Source organism: Homo sapiens, chromosome 1, assembly GCF_000001405.40.
Source record: "Homo sapiens chromosome 1, GRCh38.p14 Primary Assembly".
NCBI classification, from domain to species: domain Eukaryota; kingdom Metazoa; phylum Chordata; class Mammalia; order Primates; family Hominidae; genus Homo; species Homo sapiens.
The window spans coordinates 14609067-14631365 of record NC_000001.11 but is presented as its reverse complement, the minus strand read 5'-3'; the positions used below and the strand labels follow the sequence as shown (position 1 = coordinate 14631365).

Sequence of the window (22299 nt, the reverse complement as noted above, 5' to 3'; positions counted from 1 at the left end):
TGGGTGTATGTAACTAAAATGTCCAAGGATGGGGGCTTGATCCAGGCTCAAATTATTCTAGCCTTCACTGTTTCCTGGCTCATACTTGGTGCTCCCTACCTTGTGATGCCAAGATGGCCGTGGCAGCTCCGCCCTTTTAATCTCTTAGATCCCAGCGCAGAGGGGGTCACTTCCTAGTAGCTTTCCATAGCAGCTGTTGGATTCACTCTGATTGGATGCTGATGGACCTGTCTCTGAACTAGTAACTGTGAATACAGGATGAGGCAGCAGGGTAGGGGATGTTCCATGAACCTCTCAGCCTAAGAGTCAGGGAAAAATGGATCCCCAGAGCAAAACTGGAGGCTGCTGCTAGAAGATCAATACGCTTGGATGAAGGGGTAATCAACGTATACTAGTTATGAAATTATGTTTTAAACATATTGATTTTTACTTTTATTGTGCCCTTATTGACTTTATCCTATAGCAATCTTTGCAACAACCCTTCAAAATAAGGCATTATTACCCCCATTTTATTGATGAGAAAACAAAGCTTCAGAGAGGTTACGTGTCTTCCCCACAGTCACACAGCCCAAAAGCAGCAGACCTGAAGTTTGAATCCAGGCTTGTCTGATTTCAGAGTTCATGACTTCTCTGCTAGGCTACACTGTTGAACTGTGGTCCACTTGGGGTAGGGGAATCATTAGAGAGAATAATGCACATGCCTTACATTTATATACACACAGCATTTTATGGCTTACAAAGCATGGCCCCAGTCAGCATCTCATTTAACTCCCACAATGGCCCTTTGGTGGAGAGGTCATTACTATAATCTTTTAAAAAATATTATTTTAAAATTAATTAACATAGAGATGAGGTCTCACTATATTGCCCAGGCTGGTCTTGAACACCTGGGCTCAAGTGATCCTCCCGTTTTGGCCTCCCAAATTCCTGGGATTACAGGCATGAGCCACCTCACCTGGCCATCTTCATAGTTGAGTATACAGACAACGGTTAAGGAATTTGCTGAAAGGCCCCAGCTTGAACAACAGCTCAAGAGTTAAATTCCCCCCACCATCCACACTTTCACAGAAGGGACAGGAAACAACTACTAGCAGTTGGCTTAAAGCTGGACCATGAAGAACTAGGGTGAATACGGCATCAGGACCGAGCTGGGGTATCCCTAGGGATGCTCATTTTAGCATGCCTGCATTTATTCATTTCCCCTTCTCTGATATTTGTTTGAAGAGCCATTATTCCCTCTATAGAGCCCACAGATTTTAGGAACAGTGTTACAGTGGGGGACTGGCCTGAGGGCCAATGATGTTTCTGTTCCCAATGCCATGTTCACTGACATTGCATTCGTAGCTGAAAATCAACCCTAGCAGAAATATGTATTTACACCATGGGAATTGGCAAATGCTGCATTTGGGGGCGGCGTGGCAGGGGGGCGGGTAGGTGGGGCTTTATTTGCTTCTCAGAGAGCCAAATGATCAACATCCACCAGCAGGCTGCCGGGTTTTCTCCAGCCCTAGCCCCAGGGTGTGCAGCTTCCTTAGGTTTTAGTTTAAGAGTAGAACCCAGCAGAACAACCCGGCCCTAGTGCCTCCCCAGCTCCACTCCCACCACACCCTTCTTCAGTGCCTGACTCAGAGGTGGGCATGCGACCCAACTGATCCCTCAGATCTAAGTCCAGTACTTTTTTCCCAAAGATTAGACAGAGTGAGCTCCTACCTAGTGGATGTGAACAAGGAAGCAACGAGCCCTGGAGCCGTGGCAGCCATCTTTGGACCAGAAGAGGAAGACTGCTATGGACAGAGGAAACCGGAGGGAGCAAAGAAGAGGCAGGGCGTGGCCACCTCACCCGAGTTGCTGCATGGGCCGTGCTGGGGTGCTCGCAGCCTGCGAGGTTTTCCATCATGAGCATCCCTGACCATTTCAACCAGTTTAACGTGGGTTTCTGTTCGTTGCAACAAATCACCTCCTAAGTGACTTAGTAGAAGAGCAAAGGGAACAGCCTACTGAGACAGGAGCTGCTGCTGGAATACAGCAACGAATATGGCAAACTGATGTTCACAAAAGGCTCTTGGAGAGAGAAAAACATGTTTCTTACAATGTCAGGCACTAACAAATAAACACACGCCAACCCCAACACCTTTCTTGGGGACTACTCGTTATCCATAAGACACTCCATCCTCCCCCTGCCACCGTATGAGAATTGATCTCTTTAAGAATTAATGTGAGGCCGGGTATGGTGGCTCACACCTGTAATCCAAGCACTTTGGGAGGCTAAGACAGGCGGATCGCCTGAGGTCAGGAGTTCAAGACCAGCCTGGCCAACATGGTGAAACCCCGTCTCCAGTAAAAACACAAAAATTAGCTGGGTGTGGTGGCAGGCACCTGTAGTCCCAGCTACTCGGGAGGCTGAGGCAGGTGAATTGCTTGAACCCGGGAGACAGAGGTTGCAGTGAGTGGAGATGGTGCCACTGCACTCCAGCCTGGACAACAGAGCAAGACTCCATCTATAAAAAAAAAAAAAAAAAAAAAGAATGTGAAAGATGTGACAGTGCTTCCGGTTTTGTTAAGTGTTAATGATGGAAGCAAGAGGTGTTGGTAGCAAGATTGCAGCTGACATGAATGTCTCCGTCCAGCTTTCTGGATTCCTCATCTCTGAAACAGGGACGGTGGGACCCACCCCTTGTAAGGTTACTGCAAAGATAAAATGAAATCATTCAGGTTTGTGAAAATAGATTCTGTATCTGGCCCGGCATTCTCCAGATGAATTCCATTTACATGTGCATCTGAACTATTAAACCACATAAAATGCCTTCGCTTTTACTTGGGACAATAAATGAAAACTCTTTTGACATTTGAAGCATTTCATGTCTCTGTGCTTCCAGAGAACAGTTCCATTTAACTTGAAAGGGGTTTTCAGTGTAATTCACATTTAATGTTATGAAAGCATTTCTCTCTCACATTGGGCTTTATCTAAATTTTTAAACAAGGCCTAATTTACAGGCCCCAAACGACTTGGCAAATTTCCTGCAATCTCATTGAAAAAGTCCTGGCTGCTTATATGCTGCGGGTGTGTTGAAAGACTGCTTTGTCTAGGGTGCCAACTAAAACTGAAATTACTCCGCCGACAAAAGGTCGTCCTTTCAAACAAACTCACAGGATCCATAGGCATGCATGCTACACAGAACTGCACCCGGATCCACTGCCCCAGGACCAGATCAGGTGTAATCTGTACCCGGTCTGTAGCAATGGAGACTGAGATGTCCCATTGCAAAGGCAGAAAATAACGCAGAGAACACACTGATTTTGTTTGCAAGTGGATGGATGGGTGCTGCCTATTTCTTGGGAAAGAGAGGGTGAGAAGGTCAGACAGACGAGAGAGAGAGAGAGAGAGAGTTCCATATCCATCTTGCCCACACTGTCATCAGCCGTCGGAAACATCTGTGATTCACACGTGACCCAAATGCCAAGTAGACGCCTGATGGGCAGAGAATAAACCTGTTACCCCTCAACCCCACACAAGAACAGCCTCCTCAACACAACTGGGTGCTCCTTGCACAATGCAAATCAGGCCTAGGTGTGGAGCTTCTCTAAACTTAGCTGGTTGTTTGGCGGTCGGGGGTTATGCTACCCAGAACATGAATACCCTGGCTCTCTGTTTGTCAGCTGCTGTGGATTCTAACGGGAAACTAGCTCGGCTGGGAGTCATTGAACATATATTTATTAGGTACCCTCAGAAGGCAGGCACTGTGCTAAGCCCTAGGAATACAATGGTGAGCAAACCAGACGCAGCCCCTGCCTTCACAGAGCTTACAGCGCAGCAGGAAGAAAGCAGATTAAATCAACAGTGATAGGAGGGGAGTGAGGAGCGAGCCTTTTAAGTCCTGAGTGAGATCGTATCAGGCCTGTGCAGACATGCCTCCTCGGGCCTCCCAGCTCGCCAGCTGCAAGGGCTCACTCCTCTGCACTCTCTGGCCCAGCCACCCCTCTGATCTCATCTCTTATTGACCTCCTGGGCGACTTGCTGGGCCCCAGCTACAGAGGCCTCCTTGCATCCCTCAAGCACACTAAGCAGGCTGCAGCCTCATGGGCCTCTGCACATGCTCTTTCTTCTGTTTGGATGCTGAGACGCTTGGCCCCCTGACATCCCATGGCTGGCTCCTTCACACCCTTCCCGCTCTGAGAAGGCTTCCCTGATGCCCCCATCAAAACAAGCCCCCCAGCCACTCTGATTTCCCTTAGCAGCCCCAGTGCACTACAGTTTTATTTGGTTACTGTGTCTTTCCCCCTACTGGTCTGTCTGTTCACTGCTTTATCCCAGGGCCTCCAACAGTGGCTGGAACATAGTAGGTGCTCAATAAATATTTACCAAGTAATAAATATTTACCGAGTGTCCTGGTAAGCGACTTCAGAGTGCTAAAGGGGCACACAGTAGGAGCACAGTCCCTGGCAGAGTCTGGAAGGCTTCCCAGAAGTGGCACTTAAGGATCAGTGGAATGTTTTTTTGCATGAAAAGCAGGGAACAGGGCCGCAAGCAGCATGAACAACCTTGAGAAGTCTGGAAAAGGCTTCGAGGATTTTGGTGTGGCTGGAGAGTAGGCTGCACGTGGCAACATCAAGAAATAAGACAAGGGAAAGAGGCAGAGTCAGGCACAGAGGTGCCTCAGGAGCCACGGTAAGGAGTTGAGGCTGGATCTGGAACCACAGAGAACCACCGAGGTGGTGTTCAGAAGCAGAATCACACAGAGAAACTTGCATTCCAGAAGGTTCACTCAGGCTGTGGCTTGGAGAAAGTGGACGAGAGGCTGGAAGATGCTGCTGTAGGGGCTCATGAGAGATGCTAAGACCCCCAGCCGGGATGGTAACCCCGGGCAAGGCACTTGACCTGGACCCATCTGGACCTCCACTTTCTCATCTGCGAAATAGGTACACCAAACAACACAATGGGCTGTTGTAAGAATCTGTGCACACAATGTTGTTTCTGCTGGAGTGCAAAGGGAAGTGTTCTACAAAAGCACGCTGTTAGGAGGAAGACTAGCTTTACCAGCTAATGGCTGAAGCTTTATATTTTCATCCATGCTTAGCACTTAGTGCATATGTCAGAATCTAAACTCATGAATTTCAATAACAGTGTCATTGATTGACAGCCAGAAGTCATTAATTCCGTATAATGTGTACAGGCAGCAGGAGAGAAAGAGGACAGAATAAAAGGCCTCTAATGACGCTTGCAAACTCTCAGCAGGGCTCAGTCCAGTTGGCTGGGGCCAGAATTCCGCAGCCCCACCAGGTATGAGAACGAAGGAAGGAATTCTCATGAGCTGTGCCAGCTCTTTCAACTAAAGTTCATGCTCAGGGGAGAAGAGCTTCTAGATATAAATCTGCACGACATATCAAATATCCCTCAGAATCCCGTAGGTCCCCTGAAAAGCGAGAAACAAGTAGACATCCAGGTATGAATATGGGTGCGGCCAGGGAGAAAAGACATTGCTAAAAAGGACTAGGTTTCTTTGCCAGCCCAAATGACTACCACTTCCCACAACCTCTCGTTTCCGGGGAAATTGCAAACAGCAAATTACACCGAGTGCATCTGTCCCTGAGAAGAAATCACATCGTCCAACGCACAAACCTCCCGCCCTCTTTCATGTCTGCTAATTGCCTGCTGAATCGAGAGACTTTTGAAAGGCAGGATGATAATTGAAGTTTCACATAATTACATTTTAAAGTAACGCTTTTAGCTTCCCCCAACCTCAGTCAAAACTCTATCTTGTCAAAATAGTCTTAAAGTTTTTTTCCCCCTTAAACAGAAATTGATGAAATATGACTGGAAATCTTTTAGCTGCTAATTATAAGTCAAGCCTCTTTGGGGCTTTTTTGGGATATCTCTTTGACTTCTCTAAGTGATTCCTTTGGTCCTCTGCTTTTAAACTGTTCATTTTCCACTTGCAGAGAAGAGTGAAATTTCTTCCCTAGTTTTAATTACAATTGAGGCTTTATCCTCGGATAGTAGGGAGCGAGGCTTTGCAGTGTGAGGGGGGCCACCCTGTTAATCAGGGCTAAATCTAGTATACTGTGGAGGCTCCTACCTTTCATTACATTACCTTGTTGGTTTAATTAATGGTATTACCCTCTGAACTGTGTACTGAAGCTTAAAAGAAACTCCACACATGCAGAAAACTCGCTCAAGGAAAAAGAGAAGAATGCCTAATAGAATATCGCTCATCACCCTGGGTACCGCTGCTAATGTCTTCCATGATGACTACGCGGTGTCGGGGGGGACCCTCCAGGGGACACAGGATGAGCTCACATAGTTCTCTTAGAAATAGTGGCGATGTCTGTATTTTGGTTTCTGGCACAGACCAGCAATTTATCTGGGATACTTAATTTTAAAAACCAGACATCACCTCATCAAAAACCAAATGTTGTCCCTGTTTGTTCAGGTGAAGTTTCTGGTAATGTCTAGTGAGATCAAGCAGGGTAGGTAGACAGAGAGCGATAAGGTCTTTTGCTGTTGGGTCACTAACCCAACTCAAATTATAATATTCTTGTGAAAGGCTGCACTTGACGTGTTAATTACCACAAAACTGTAAGCTCCAACATTTGAGTATAAACTCTTTGCAGATAGTGACCAGGTCGTGTTCAGCCATGACTTGGCACACTGAAAGGACTCAATAAATGTTTGTTGAACAAATGAATGAACTCTCTTCACCGAGTCCTTAGCTGTCTAAGGCACAGTGTGGGCCATGCATGGTGGCTGGAGATTTTGTCAAATCCTCTAAACTTTTTTTTTTATGATGATAAAGCAGTCAATTTGTCAAGTGAACATAACACACCTAAATATTTCTGCACATAATGACAGAACTTGAGAATACAGTAAACGAAAGCTGAGAACTGCAGGGAGAAATAGACAAATCCATAATAGTTAGTGGTTTTTTTTGTTGTTTTTTTTTTTTCTTGAGACGGAGTCTCGCTCTGTTGGCCAGGCTGGAGTGCAGTGGCGCGATCTTGGCTCACTGCAACCTCCGCCTCCCGGATTCAAGCGATTCTCCTGCCTCAGCCTCTAGAGTAGCTGGGACTACAGGCACATGCCACCAAGCCTGGCTAATTTTTTGTATTTTTAGTAGAGACAGGGTTTCACCCTGTTAGCCAGGACGGTCTCGATCTCCTGACTTTGTGATCCACCCACCTCAGCCTCCCAAAGTGCTGGGATTTCAGGCATGAGCCACTGTGCCCGGCCTGGTTTTAATATTCTCTAAATAACTGATAGGACAAGTAGGACTAAAATCAGTAAGGTCATGGTAGACTTGAATAACAGTATAGACCTACTTGACCTCATTAATATTTTTAGCACACACTATTCAAAATAACAGAATACACATTGTTTTCAAGGGCACGTGGAATGATTTACCAAGATATACCATATTCTAAGATATAAAACAAGTCTCAAAAATTATTAAAGGACTTAAGTTACACAAAATATATGTTTTGACCACAAGGGAATAAAATCAGAGATCAATAACAGACAGAATTATCTGTGAAAAAAATCACAAAATATTTAGAAAATAAATAACAAGAGTCCCTAATAAACTATCAGTCAATTAGATATCAAAAGAGAAAAAAAAAGATGAAAATGAACATACAAGGTATCAAAATCTGTGGGATGCAGCCAAAGCAATACTTCAGGAAATTTCATGGCACTAAACACCTATATTAGAAAAGAAGAGAGATGTTTTTAAATTATTATGTTTAAACTTTTATTTTAGATTCAGGGGTACATGTGCAGGCTTGTTATCTAGGTATATTGTGTGTCATGAGCATTTAGTATCTAGAGTATTTCATCAATCAGGTATTAAGTTCAATACCCGATAATCATCCTTTCTGCTCCTCTCCCTCCTCCGATCCTCCACCCTCAGGTAGGCCCCAGTGTCTGTCATTCCCTTCTTTGTGTCCAAGTGCACTCAATGTTTCGCTCCCACTTATAAGTGAGGACATGTGGCATTTGGTTTTCTATCCTGCATTAGTTCACTGAGCATAATGGCCTCCAGTTCCATCTATGTGGCTGCAAAGGATATGATCTTGTTCTTTTTTATGCCTGCATAGTATTCCATGGTGTGCATGTACTACATTTTCCTTATCCAGTCTACCATTGACATTTAAGTGGATTCCATATCTTTGCTATTGTGAATAGTGCTGCAATGATCATATGCATGCATGTGTCTTTATGGCAGAATGATTTATATTCCTTTGGGTATATACCAATATATCCAAATAATAATGGGATTGCTGGGTCAGGTGGTCATTCTGTTTTACGATTTTCTGTGAGAAATTGTCAAACCGCTTTTCACATAGCTGAACTAATTTATATTCCCACCAGCAGTGTATAAGCATTCTCTTTTCTCCACAACCTTGCCATCTGTTATTATTTTGACTTTTAAATTCAAAAAAAAAAAAATTAAGAACACTGATACCCAAAGAAGTTGAGCAAATTTTCTAAGGTCATACAGGTATTTAAGCATCAGAGTTAAGATCTGAACCAGACTTATTGGATTCCAAAGACAAAGTTTTTGACACCTCCTTAATAAAAGAATCAGAATGAAGGGATAAATGCATAATCTGAATTTCATTTCAGGTGAGGCTTAAAGGTGAAGCAGAGATTAGACACATTTTCATAATTTTTTTTTTTTTTTTGAGATGGAGTCTCGCTCTGTCACCCTGGCTGGAGTGCAGTGGTCGATCTCCGCTCCCTGCAAGCTCCGCCCCCCAGGTTCATGCCATTCTCCTGCCTCAGCCTCCTGAGTAGCTGGGAATACAGGCACCCGCCACCACGCCCGGCTAATTTTTTTGTATTTTTAGTAGAGACGGGGTTTCACCGTGTTCGCCAGGATGGTGTCGATCTCCTGACCTCGTGATCCGCCCGCCTCGGCCTCCCAAAGTGCTGGGATTACAGGCATGAGCCACCACGCCTGGCCTTAATATTTTCAAAAAACACAAGAAATCTCAAAGATACCTTATTTCACTAAACATAATATTATTTATCACTGTCTGTTGTATTTTTTCCAAACTCCCATGAAGGCCTAATATTAAGCAAACCCATACTTTCCAATTAGAATTGATCAATGCACTCTCCTCTTCCAGAATGGAGTCTCCATGGGCTGATTTCAGGGACTTTGGATCGGTCAACATTTACAATTTACTATATGTTCACTGTGTCTTAAAAGAAGTCAGAGCACATCTGACTTCAAGCAGCTCACAAGGTAAAGGAGGAAATGAATCTGTGTAATTTTCTTCTAAAATGGCCTCTTCAACTAGTGTTGGGAAGAGGAGATGCTGCCTCAGTAGCTGACTGTCTGCAATGTGCAAGTTAGAACAGCCTGGTCCCAGGGCTCTTATACTTTATGCCCTGTTCAAGCCGGAAGTACAGGCTTTGTAAGGTTTCTTAGGGTTTGCAACTTTCCCATTGTATTAGTCTGTTCTCACGTTGCTAATAAAGACATATCTGAGACTGAGTAATTTTTAAAGGAAAGAGGTTTAATGGACTCACAGTTCCACATGGTTGAGGGGGGGCCTCACAGTCATGGCAGAAGGCAAGGAGGCGCAAAGTCACATCTTACATGGCGGCAAACAACAGAGTTTGTGCAGGGGAATTCCCCTTTATAAAACCATCAGATCTTGTGAGACTTATTCACTACCACAGGGAAACCACCCCCATGATTCAATTATCTCCACCTGGCCCCACCCTTGACACATGGGGATTATTACAATTCAAGGTGAGATTTGGGTGGGGCACAGCCAAACCATATCACCCATGCTTGCTATTTTCTTGTCTTCTGTCTTGTTCCCCAAAGCAAAGTGACCTTGGGGAGTTAGTGTGGTCCTAAGAGGTAGCCTGGGGGCTCTGAGGAGACCTGTCTCTATGGTTCCTTATAGCCCAGAGTCTAGCAGAATAGAGATTCATTAAAAGGCACAGCAGAATTAGTAGAGTCAGAGCTTTTCTTAAACGAGCATGTGGATTAAACACACATACTTTCTGCATTCAGAAGTGACAGAGACCTACTTGTAAAATGCCACATCCATTTGTGAGAAAATAATACACTTGCAGCACAGTTGTCTGGAAAAGCCTGGCATGACTCTGGCTGCTGAGCAGTAAGCCCCACTCTTTCCACCCTCCAGCCATTGATTAGCCTCATTAGCAGATAACAAATGCCTTGGGTGGCCCTGCTCCAGTCCTGGTGGACCAGCACATGAAGGATTTGGCCTCCATTCCAGCAACTGTCTTTTCACTTGGCAGCTCCCCTGGGAAGTAGAAGCTCCAGGAAAATGTCCCCTCCTTGGAGCTGCCTATCTGCTCTGTGGCCAGCCAGCAAGTTCCTACATGGGGAGGCTGATGTGACAGCTCCAGTTTCCAGGACAAGCAGAGATGATGAGGACCATCTATCCCAACAAATGGGCACACTGAAGATGATGATGGGGACACTTTCATGGAAATTAGGTTGTACAAGAGGCTCCGCTGGGAGATTTCCAAGGCGTCACCTCTGAGGATCCTCACAACAACCCTAAAATGCAGATGCTTCTATTATTTCCATTTTAAAGATGCTAAAACTGGGGCTGAATGAGATGAGGCACTTCACTCAAGGTCACTCACAGCTATTATAGTAGTGGCAGGGCTCGGAGTTGAGCTCATGACTGTTACTTGAGAAGGCCTCTTGCCCACTGTGGTATTCCAGCTGGCTCTGCCACCCTACAAACTTCTTGGTATTTTCAGAAAGAAGCAGCAGAAAGAAGAGGAAAGTTTCCATGGTTACCCTGTCACAAATCTCCTCTGGACAACATGTGCCCCAAATCTATCCAACAGGGCTCCCTAATGACCTGGCCGAGCCCTGGAATCTTGGAAACCTATTCCAGCTTCTTGCCACCCAGAGAAGATGTGGCAAAGTGGAGGTTGCATCAATAATAACAACGGTGATAATTATAGGAATGATCACAAGCAGTTTCTCTGGGTGTTTCTGATGTGCTAGGCATTGCTGAGCCTTGTGTGAATGAACGCATTGAATACTCTCAACAACTTTCAGAAATGGGTGATCTTATCAGCTGCATTTAACACTTGAGGAAAGCTGCTCTTTAGTTTTAAATAGAATTGTCTCAAACAATTTCAAAATTATCTAATTTTTCTCTTGTGCTTACAATTTAGGGAGAAGCAGATGGTATACTTTTGTAGAGACTATACATACACGTGTAAAATACGCATATATACATAGATCCTACCATTGTACAGATGGGTAACTGTACTTACTATTGTACAGATGGGTAACTGTTAACCTAGCAGGGGCAAGGCTCATGTGCATTGACCTGGGGAGCTGAGAAGAGGCTAAAACTGAACTTAAAGTGATTCAATGCCACTATTCACAACATCCAAAAAGGCAGAAACAACTCACGTGCCCATCAATAAATGAATGGATATCATGTGGTATAGCCACACACTGGAATGTTATACGGTCGTAAAGAGGAATGAAGTGCTGATACACGCTACAACATGGATGAGTCTTAAAATCATCATGCTAAGTGAAAGAAGACAGTCACAAAAGGTCACATGTTGCATGATTCTATTTATATAAAATGTCCAGTATGAACAAATCCACAGATACAGAAAGCAGATTTGTGGTTGCCAGGAGCTGGAGGCAGGAAGAATGGGAAGTGACTGCTTAATGGGTACAGGGTTTCCGTGTGGGGTGGTTAAAAGGTTCTGGAACTAGATAGTGGCACGGGTTGCAAAACATCGTGAAAGTACTTTTAACGCCAGTGAATTGCACATTTTAAAATGATTTAAATGGCAAATTTTCCGTTATGTGTATTTCACTACAATAACAAAAGAATGATTCAATGCCTGGCACAGTGGCACACAACTGCAATCCCAGTGCTTTGGGGGCTGAGGTGGGAGGATTGCTTGAGGCCAGGAGTTCAGAGACCAACCTGGACACCATGGCGAGACCCTGTCTTTACAAAAAAATTTAAAAAATTAGCCAGGTGTGTTGGCACCCACCTGTAGATCTAGCTACTTAGGAGGCTGAGGTGGGAGGATTGTTTGAGCCCAGGAGTTTGAGGCTGCAGTGAGCTATGATTGCATCACTGCACTTGAGCCCAGGCAAGAGAGTAAAATTTTGTCTTAAAAAAAAAAAAACCAAGAATGATTAAATTCCTTTTTCATTGTGCATGGAGTAAAACTGGATTCCTTTTCTTAGTTTATCAGAACCTTCTAAATCTGTCTTCCACCCCTGCATTCTCAATCTCATTTACTCTCATCTCAATGCCCCATTAATTCTCCCATCCCACCCAGATCTTGAGCCAAACCGAAACACTGGCTGCTCCTCCAACAAGCCATGCTGTCGTCCTGCCGTGTCTGTATCCTGCAGCAAATTCTGCCCAAAGACCCACCTACACCTTCTTGACCCAAAGAAGACCTACTTGCCCTTCCAGACTTCCACTCAAGCGAAGGCTCCTTTGGAAACTGTCAGGGAACCCCTCACCTTTCCTTCAGCCTGGGCAAAGTGTCCCTTGTCAACACTTTTACATACCTTGCACATACTACTATCACTGTACTTGTCACAGTGTATTGTCATTATATGGTTTGGGACAAAAGAGTGACACATGCTGGTTAAAAATATAGGCTTTGGGGTCAGTGGGCCAGAGTTCAAATGTCAACTATACCCACAGTGTGGTCATATCATAGACACATGATTTAATCACTTTATGCCTCAGTTGCCTGACCTGTCAAAATTGGACTACTAATAAAACAATGTGAGGATTAAACACGAAAATACATATATAGCTTTTAGAAGGATGCCTTGTCCCTTCTAGGTACTCCATCATATTAGTGTCACTTATTATCTTCATCATTGCCATTGTCTTCTCCCTGCCCCAGGAGCTTCATGAACTCCATGAGCCCAGCATGGGGCCAGCCATGGGGCAGGTGCCCAAGAAATATGTACAGAATAAAATTATGATCCCTTTATTCCATTCTTCTCATCTTCCTGATGGGAAAATGGAGACTTGAATGGCAAAGTGATTAGTCCAAAGTCATGTCACCAGCTCGAGGCAGAAGACGGTCTAGAACTTTGGCCTTTTCATGTCAAATCCTCACTCTCATCACTAGAACACGCCGGGGCTGGGGCCATGCCCCAGTGTGTTTCCATGGACATGGGACACACCTTACAAACTAGATGAAGAGTGAAGCAAGCGCCGGACTCAGCTGCCATCTCGCAGCATTCAAGCCTTTCCTTGCTTAGCAATGAGAGCTTGAAATATCAGCAGCTGAGCTATAAATAACTGAGAAAAAAAAGAATCCAGAAATTAACTGAGGGTCTGTCAGCAAGTCAGCGGGGCTCCCTCTCCCAGGGAGGGTGATGCATGAGCTGTCGGAGATAAGACTCTGGTTGGGCATATTTAAGGTGAGCGCAGATAGCAGTGGGCACTTGGGAAGTCCCTTCTGCCACTGCCAAATGGGAAAGCCCATAGATCAAACCACAAAATAAATGAGGACATTAAGGCTTCATACACTTTGCGCTTTGGGATTTTTATTTGAAAAACCAAGACTCCAATTTTAACTAGCTCCTCCTCAAATGGTCGTGTTGTCACTCCCAAGAAAGGTCACTCTTCAGCACTACAGGTCTTCCATGGGACACTCTGGACAGCTTGAATACACAGTTCCACATTCATAGCTGATATTTATTGAATCCTTAGCATGTATGTCCCATGCACTTATCACCGGGATTCACGTATATTTACTCACTTTATTTTTATAAAAACCCCATAAGGTACGAGCTACAGGCAAACCTTGTTTTACTGCGCTTCGTAGATACCAAGGCTTTTTTGTTTTTGTTTTTGTTTTTTACAAATCAAAGGTTTGTGGTAACCCCTCTCATGCAGCAAGTCTATCAACGCCAATTTCCCAAAAGCATGTTCTGGCTTCGTGTCTCTGTATCACCATTTTTTAGCAATAAAGCATTTTTAAATGAAGGTATGTAGACTTTTCAGACAGAATGCTATTGTACACTTAATAGGCTACGATGTAGTGTAAACATAAGTTTCATACGCACTGGGAAACCAAAAAATTTGTGTGACTCACTTTATTTCGATATTTGCTTTATTGTGGTAGTCTGGAATGGAACCTGCAATATCTCTGAAATATGCCTGTATCATAGAACAGCCGCATAACATAGATAGCAAAACATCTGTTATGGGACCCAACAAGAAGGCATGCTAGGATGTGGTGGGGCTGCTGGTTTAACCCAGGTGTCTGAATCCAGTGAAAGGAACGGAGTCACACAACCAAGGTTGCTGTCTTGCAGGATCCTTGAGAGACTAAATAGAAACAACAATGGAAGTGGCTCATGACACTCACTGAATGACCAAAGGTATGGGCCATGCCATCCCCTGGACTTGTAAGGGACAGCATAGACAGCCCCTTAGGAGCTGGCTGGAGTTAATAGCGATTTGATGGACACCCACCACTGTATTACAAACGGTCAGGAGCAGAGTGAATGCAAATGAGGCCACGAGGGCAGAAACCCAGCCTTCCCAAGTGTATCCTGCCTGCATTGAAATGTCCTGGTTCTATCGCTGAGCTTCGTATTTCATGCAAAAGGCAACCCTGAGATCGCAGCTCCAAGAAACCCTAGGGAGAACAATCAGGATGACAAATGGAACCCTCTCCCTTGTATCTCAGAAATGCCAAGAGGTATAGGTGATGGGCTGAAATATCTAAACACAACAGGGGAATGAGCCTTCGCTGACGCTGATTTATGGGCAGAGGGGCCCAGCCCTCACCTTTATTTACATTGCTTGGAGCACAAACTCCAAGAAAATTATAGTGTTTTAATTTGGGCATCTGGCTTGTACTTTTTTTTTTTTTCTAAATCACCCTCTTCTATGCTCCCTAGAAAGTCAGACCAAGCCATAAACTCCATACCAGAGGACTCCTCTGTTTCCAGCTTGTCTGTTTCAGAATTTAAGTTATTTGAGGGCACAGAAAGGATGAGTTGATGGCACACAAAGGTTCTGCTGGGATCTGCGGCACAGATCTGTGTAGCAGCTGGGACACCGCATGAGGAAGCTTGGGGGTCAGGGTAACACAAATTGGACCAAGAGGCCAGAGGTCTTGTTCTAGCCCAGGTTCTGGTATAAAGTGCTGTATAGCCTCAGCAGACTCACTTGCGCTCTCCAGCCTCAGTTTCTCCAACTGCAAAGTAAAGACCAGATGAGGCTGTCTTCAGTGTCCCTTCCTGGATTGTATAGGCATTGCGTCATTCCATAACCCACATGGGCACTTCCCTCTGGTGCCACCTTCTCTCCACCCCAGCTTTCAAGTGTCTCTCCTGCGCATGTCTCTGGCAGAGTTGGGAGGCTGACATCACCTCTGCTCAAGCCAGGTGAGACCACACTCCCCAAGACGAACTGCCTGTCCTTTAAGAAATTTTTTAAGGTGGAACTGATGGATTGGGTGATATTATGAATAGTCAGAAGTTGTAGAAATTCAGAAATGGGAGGGACTTCAGAGAAGTCTTACCAAATGCCAAATGCCCTCATTTTGACTGAACCAGTGTCTCAGTTCCTACGCCACTTCCCGGGATGCCTCTTGCAAGTTGCGGAGGCTGGTGGCGAAGCCACAGCCTACACGTTGGCCATACGATTGGAACCACAAGCCTCACTTCCCTCATGGAAGTGAGAAGTCCCCTCTGCTCCTCTTTTTTTTTTTTTTTGAGATGGAGTCTCACTCTGACATGCAGACTGGAGTGCAGTGGCACGATCTTGGCTCACTGCAGCCTCTGCCTCCCGGGTTCAAGCAATTCTTGTGCTTCAGCCTCCCAAGTAGCTGGAATTACAGGTGTGCACCACCACACTGGGTAGTTTTGTATTTTTAGTAGAGACAGGGTTTTGCCATGTTGGCCAGGCTGGTCTCGAACTCCTGGCTTGAAATAATCTGCCCGCCTTGGCCTCCCAAAGTACTAGGATTACAGGTGTTGAGCGCCACCATGCCTGGCCCACTCTGCTCTTCTTTAGCCTCTTAGTTGCAGGCTCGAGGCTAGAACCCAGGTCTCTGGATCCCACAATGGGGCTTTCCTCTGCTGCTCTTCCCTCCTCTGGTTTCCAGCAGGTGGTCGGCACCTTACTTGTCCGGGTATCCTGGGCGCTCATCACAGTGCTCTGTCAATCATAGAGTGCTTCATGAATGTTAGCTGACAAAGAAACCAAAGAATAAACTCAATTTCCTTCCTCAGTGCCTGCAGGGATACTGGAGACTTGTGAACATTTGTTAACGACATTTACAGGGGAATTGGCAAGTGCCAAGTACTGTGCTCTGCACATCACACACATTCTACCTGAATCCTACAACAGCCGTGGGAGGTCAGGACCAGCATTATCCCTACGAGGAAACCAAGGCCTATTTTAGTAAAGCAACTTGCCCGCCTCACCGAGCTAGGAAGTGTTAAGAGACAGCATTTGCACTTGGCAATGGACTCCAGAGATCTCTGTCCTGTGCTATAGATGCTGAACTTCCCTGCATCAGCATCTTAGTTTGTTCAAACAAATCTTTCATACAAAAACCCGGGAGGCCCTTGTCCTAGAAATTACTGTCTCTCAATGTTTCTCTGGGTTGTATTCAAATGACAACATACCGTGGCTGCCAAACTTGTCATTTTCTTTAGTGGTCAATCTTGAAAGCAAAACACCATGAACGGAAAAGTCCTCCCAACCAGATCACATTTGGTTTTGCGCATGTATTTTTCTCCTGAACATCTAAACCCAGCGCGGGAGGTGCTTTGCCAGCAGGCCCAGCAGATGGTCACCCAGGCTGGGTCCAGCCTCATACTGACCATGTCCTGCTGCAGAGCTCTCATCCTTAGCAAAGTTTGGCCTCTGCCTCTCTCTAATGTTCACTCCCAAGTCCTGCAGAGCCCTCCAGCCAAAGATGAACCAAACACGAAGGAAGAGAAATGAAAACCAGTTTCTGGACTCTTCCAGGTGATTTTAATTGCAGGGAATAAACCACTGTTAAAAGGAAGGCTTACTATAAAGAGAGTGGTTTATTATAAGACAGCTTAGGGTGTTTGCAGAGGAACAGGGAAATGGTTTTGTAAATGCCATCTTCTCTAATAAATCTGAATGCTGCTGGAGAGATTAGGCCATTATCCAGTGTTGGCATAAATGAGAAAATGATATGACGGATCACATGCTTGAGGGGTTTTAGGACATTGCTGGAGATGAGGCAGGGTGACACTAGTTAGTGATGGCAGTTGGCCAATTGCATCGTATTCCCGGAAATCTAGCATGGGGCCAGTTCTGTTATTCTGACCATAACTGGTGCTTTCTGGTATTCATACCAGGAAGTCACTCTGCAGAAATTTTGCAGAGTTTTCTGAAAGCCAGGGGCCCAAATTACAGGTTAATCAGTTGTGTCACAGGGAGGCAGAGTTGGGTTTGAAGAACAGAGGAATCCCTTAAAATCGGCAGAAGACTCAAAGTCCCAGGGCAGAGGCCATAGTTTTCCAAGGCACTTGTCAAGCACCTCACTGCACCTGACATTGTTCAGCACTGCACTGATCCGGGCCCAACCTGTGGGCCGCAGAGACTCTGGGTGGCCAGAGAAGGTGACGAGAAGTCCAAAATCCACACATCTCCAACCTGCTGCCTATGGGCACAATGAATTATTTTTCTTGCATGTATGTACCATTAGTTTTCAAATATATGCAATACCGAAGCTGTAACCATTTGACAAAGCTACTGAATTCATTGTAATCTTTTGCATTTATGTATTTTCTCCAACAGATAGCAAAAATATGACTACTAAAATGTAGGAGCCAAAATTTTCTTTCTCTCTTCATTAAAAACACTAGGAATCACTATTCAGTGGGAATATGGATGGCAGAAACATGAAATCCAGATGTTAACTTGTGGTATGGAATAGCCATCTTGATTAAAGTTTAAACTATTGAAAACTGGCCCCTGGCTAATGTTAATACTGTGTGCCTGCTCACCAGGGAAATGATCATTTTGTTGGTGGGAGTTTGCGGCATACTATCTGTTTTCCCTCAGAGTACAATCCCCGGCCTCAGCCTGCCAGCCTCTGTGAGTTGAGCTTCTCAGTCTGTACCCTTCCCTTTGGTTCATGGTGAAGATATCTGGATGATTTCTTGTATGAATCACTTGTGATACTGACCATAACCTCGAATGCAAGTCTAGAGTACCTATACATTAAAAGGCTAGGACGCACACTCAACAGGACATCATAGGAAGTTCGGCTCATCCTGGGAGCAAGGCTTCTAAGCAACATAGAAGGTTCAGGAGAAAGACCTGGGTTCTGGAAAAAAATACCCAATCTTGTCTTTGGGAGACAGAAATCAGCTAAGGAAATAAAGTGGTTTTATTAGTAAGTCAAAGGGGAGAGAATTCATAGTTCAATAATACAACGCACTATTAATAACCAAGAGTTCTATCTAAGGGATCCCAAAGTCTGCTAAACTCCATGCCAGGCACAGTATGTTAGTCCCTTAAACCAGCAGATCCCAAGCAGGGAATGCTTTCATCCCCAAAAGGACATTTGGCAATTATCTGATGATGTTGACTGTCACATAATGGGGTTGCTATTGGCATAGATGCTGCTAAATGTCCTAAAATGCACAGGACAGACCCCCGCCCCCACAACAAAGAATTATCTGGCCTAGAATGTCTACAGTGCTGAGGTCAAGGACCCCTGCATGAAACCAGCCCAGTCACTCTACCACAGAGGTGTTATCGGCCTCATGTTCCAGATGAGGAAGCTGAGAGCTGGAATGTCCCACAGTACCTACATCATATCACCAGGATCTGAATCAGGCCTCGCTCATTCCCTTGAACCCAGATTTATTTGCTGCATTATCTGGAAGATAGAAGTGACCTCATTTCATAACAATGAAACTGAGGCTCAGATGTCAAGTGTCCCGCCCTGCATCTCACCATGACCAATGATTCCTTGTCCCTTCTCAGTTCTTTTGAAGTCAGTGATGAAGGCAAGGGCTCTACAGCTCAGGGGTTAGAGCGCGGGTCTTGGGAAGTCAGTGATAAAGGCTGAACACAAGTGACTCCATCTCAAACCACTGAGCGGCAGCAAGTGTCTCCTCTCCTGTCCATTAACCACAACACCCCTAGTAATTAACTTCTCATTTTTGCTCCTTTAGTACTATAATCTAGTAGTTTTATTGCTCATGTTTAATTCACTAGCTCACTCATTCATCACCATTTATTAAGCTCCTCCTGTGTGTCGAGCTGGGTCAGATACAAATAAACGAGAACGATTAATACATGTCCAAGGGTTGGCAAATGATCACCTCAGAGCTACCTGTTTTTATAAATAAAGTTTTATTGGAATACAGCCATGCCCATTTATTTATATGTTGTCTATGGCTGCTTTTGCATTATAACAGCAGATTTGAGGAAGTGCAATCAATATTTTATGGTGCCCAAAGCCTAAACTATTTATTATTTGGCCCTTTATAGAAAAAGTTTGCCAACTTCCACACTAGCTCCACTATTGAAGCCACAAAGGGGAAGCACTAAAATGAACTTCACACCAAAACAAGAAGCACTTTCATCTATGCCTATATGAATAACTATAATATCCAGTAGTTTGGGGAAATCTTAATTTTTTTTTTTTTTTTTGAGACAGGGTGTTGCTCTATCACAAAAGCTGGAGTGCAGCGATGCAATCATAGCTCACTGCAACCTCAAACTCCTGGTCCCAAGTTGATCCTCCTGCCTCAGCCCCCCCAGGTAGCTGGGACCACAAGTGTGCGCCAACAAGGCCAGCTAATTTTTAAGATTTTTGTAGAGATAGCGTCTCACTATACTGGCCAGGCTGATCTTGAACTCCTGGGCTCAAGCAATCCTCCCACCTCGGGAGGGTGCATAATCTTATGCATTTCATTCTAATACAAACCTAAAACTCAAAAGCCCCAACACATTTTGATCCTCAAAAATACTTTCTACTTTTCTAGAATCCATTATAAATAGATCTTCAAATGAAGTTCCAAGGTCTATTATTTCTATTTTGCTGTCAGAAGTTGGGAAAGCCCAGAAGAACGTTCCTTGTTGCTCTGGAATTGAAACAGAGATCAGAGTCCCAGCCATTGGACTTGCCACTTAGGAGTCAGTGGACCTCAGCAGGTCACCTGCTGCACTGCAGAGACCACTGGGTTGATACCTCCCCTTCCATTCCTCTAAGATGCACAGAAAAAAATGCCCCATTCCCATCTCCCTGAGTTTTCTGCCATACTTTTGGCTGGCTTGTGATCTGTGGATAAACTTCCATTCACCTGAGTCCAGGATCTGGGCATGAAGCTGGACCACTTGCTGTCCAGGCAGTTACAGCCACAGCGAAAGTGACCACAGGCATCTAAACAACCAACGGGTTAGCTGGAGAATTCAAACCAACATATTTTGGTTGCATATTAACCCAAAGACCCGAATAAAAGAGCTTCTAAAGGTCTAATGGGATCTCCCTAAAGGGATAGTGAAAAAGAGAGAGAAATCAGGCAGATTTATTGTGATTGCTACATCCTGGCTCCGGTACCCAAAGAATACACACATCCACTAGTCTCCATGCAGGTGTATTTTCCAGAGTAAAAGATCCTAAATTATGATGGTATAGAGTACAAAAAAAAAAAAAATTCTCCACAGGGGAGCCATTGTCAGATCTAGGCCACTGAAATAAACAGGACATTCTCCTGGTGTAATTCCTGACCTTGTTTACAGATCCCTAACTGCTTGTTAGGGAAACTAGAAGAGGAGAAACTCTAAGCTCAGGCATTAAGAAGACAGGTCACTAGGGCCAGGCATGGTGGCTCACGCCTGTAATCCCAGCACTTTGGGAGGCTGAGGTGGGTCGATCACGAGGTCAGGAGATCGAGACCATCCTGGCTAACACAGTGAAACCCTGTCTCTACTAAAAATACAAAAAAATTAGCCAGGCATGGTGGCGGGTGCCTGTAGTCCCAGCCACTCGTGTCCCAGCTACTCGGGAGGCTGAGGCAGGAGAATGGTGTGAACCCGGGAGGCGGAGCTTGCAGTGAGCAGAGATTGTGCCACTGCACTCCAACCTGGGTGACAGAATGAGACTCTGTCTCAAACAAACAAACAAACAAACAAACAAACAAACAGGTCATTGGAAGAGAAGTCAGATGATTGTAAAACCCCACTGAAATGAGGAAAGAATCTAGTGTAAAAAATTGTATTCATTTGTAAAAATGGATTCCCCTTTCATCGTGGGCCACTCATTGGACAGGAGGCTCAGAGTATGAGGGCACAGTCTTGAAGTGATGGTGTCTCCATCCAGGCCTTACAAGATGCAGTGGCCCATGCCCAAGAGGGCGTGGCCCAGCGAAGGTCAGACTTCACCCAGCCATGAGCTATGGGGCAGTTCTCTTCCCACACTGTGCAGCTGGGCCTGATCTTAGTGTGGAGAAAGGGAGGGGAAGTTGGTTCAATAACCAGCTCACCAATCTTAGACAAATCAACTTAAATTGCTGTGCCTCAGTTTCCTGAGCTGAGAAATAGATTGCTGCGTCTACCTCAATTCAATCACATGGACCACTTGGAAGGGTCCACTGGGATGATGCCTGTGAAAGTCTTTGGATTCTGCAAAGAGATGTCTAGGTAGAGAGACTGTAGCGCTTCCCAGGAACCTTCTTGATTGCCAAGAAAAGAGGAAGAGTGAATAAATGCAGGAGAATCCTGAAAAAAGGGTGCTGAGCATCAGCTCTGTAAATTGATGTTCCACCAAGCTCTTGTTTTAGAATAAATGCGATAACACTGAAAAAGTTAGAGGGTGGGTTTTGAGTTGACTCATGGTAGAACCAACTGTGGTGTTGATCAGCCGAGTTTAAACAAGGTTGCTTTTTGTTTTGTTTTAGTAGTTGCTGATGAGAATGACCCAGCCTGTGGAAGCTGACCATGAGATCATGATCCTTCTCTACAGGACTTCCATTAAAACTTAAACATGCCTTTCTCCTCCAGCAGGGCTGCCTGGTACCATGTCAAATTGCAAACAGGGCACTCTGAGCATGTTTGCCCGAGAACAGGCTGACCATCCACACAAAATGGCACCCAAGCCTTGCCTTTCTGTTAACTCCCAAATCTCAAGATGCACTGAATAGTCCTGTTTTTTCTTGCTTTACATAGTAAACTTTATAGGAATAGGAAAAGCAATCCAGTTGATGAGCACATTAATTAAGATAATCAATACACATATAATTCCAGGTCATGTTTCCCCAAGTGTCATTTGTC

At 44.8% G+C, this 22299-nt stretch overlaps 1 protein-coding gene across 11 annotated transcripts in view, besides 2 other annotated features; it reads right to left on the bottom strand.

Annotated features, from left to right (window-relative positions):
- Positions 1-22299, bottom strand: part of KAZN (kazrin, periplakin interacting protein) — a 1225220-nt gene that overhangs the window by 486678 nt on the left and 716243 nt on the right. The window lies entirely within an intron of this gene.
- Positions 1329-1829: an enhancer, noted in NCBI's record as "H3K4me1 hESC enhancer chr1:14956033-14956533 (GRCh37/hg19 assembly coordinates)". NCBI's record gives its function as "activates a minimal SCP1, AML or CMV promoter by ChIP-STARR-seq in naive H9 embryonic stem cells {active_cell/tissue: H9 hESC(naive)}" and the evidence as "EXISTENCE:reporter gene assay evidence [ECO:0000049][PMID:30033119]".
- Positions 1830-2330: an enhancer, noted in NCBI's record as "H3K4me1 hESC enhancer chr1:14955532-14956032 (GRCh37/hg19 assembly coordinates)". NCBI's record gives its function as "activates a minimal SCP1, AML or CMV promoter by ChIP-STARR-seq in naive and primed H9 embryonic stem cells {active_cell/tissue: H9 hESC(naive and primed)}" and the evidence as "EXISTENCE:reporter gene assay evidence [ECO:0000049][PMID:30033119]".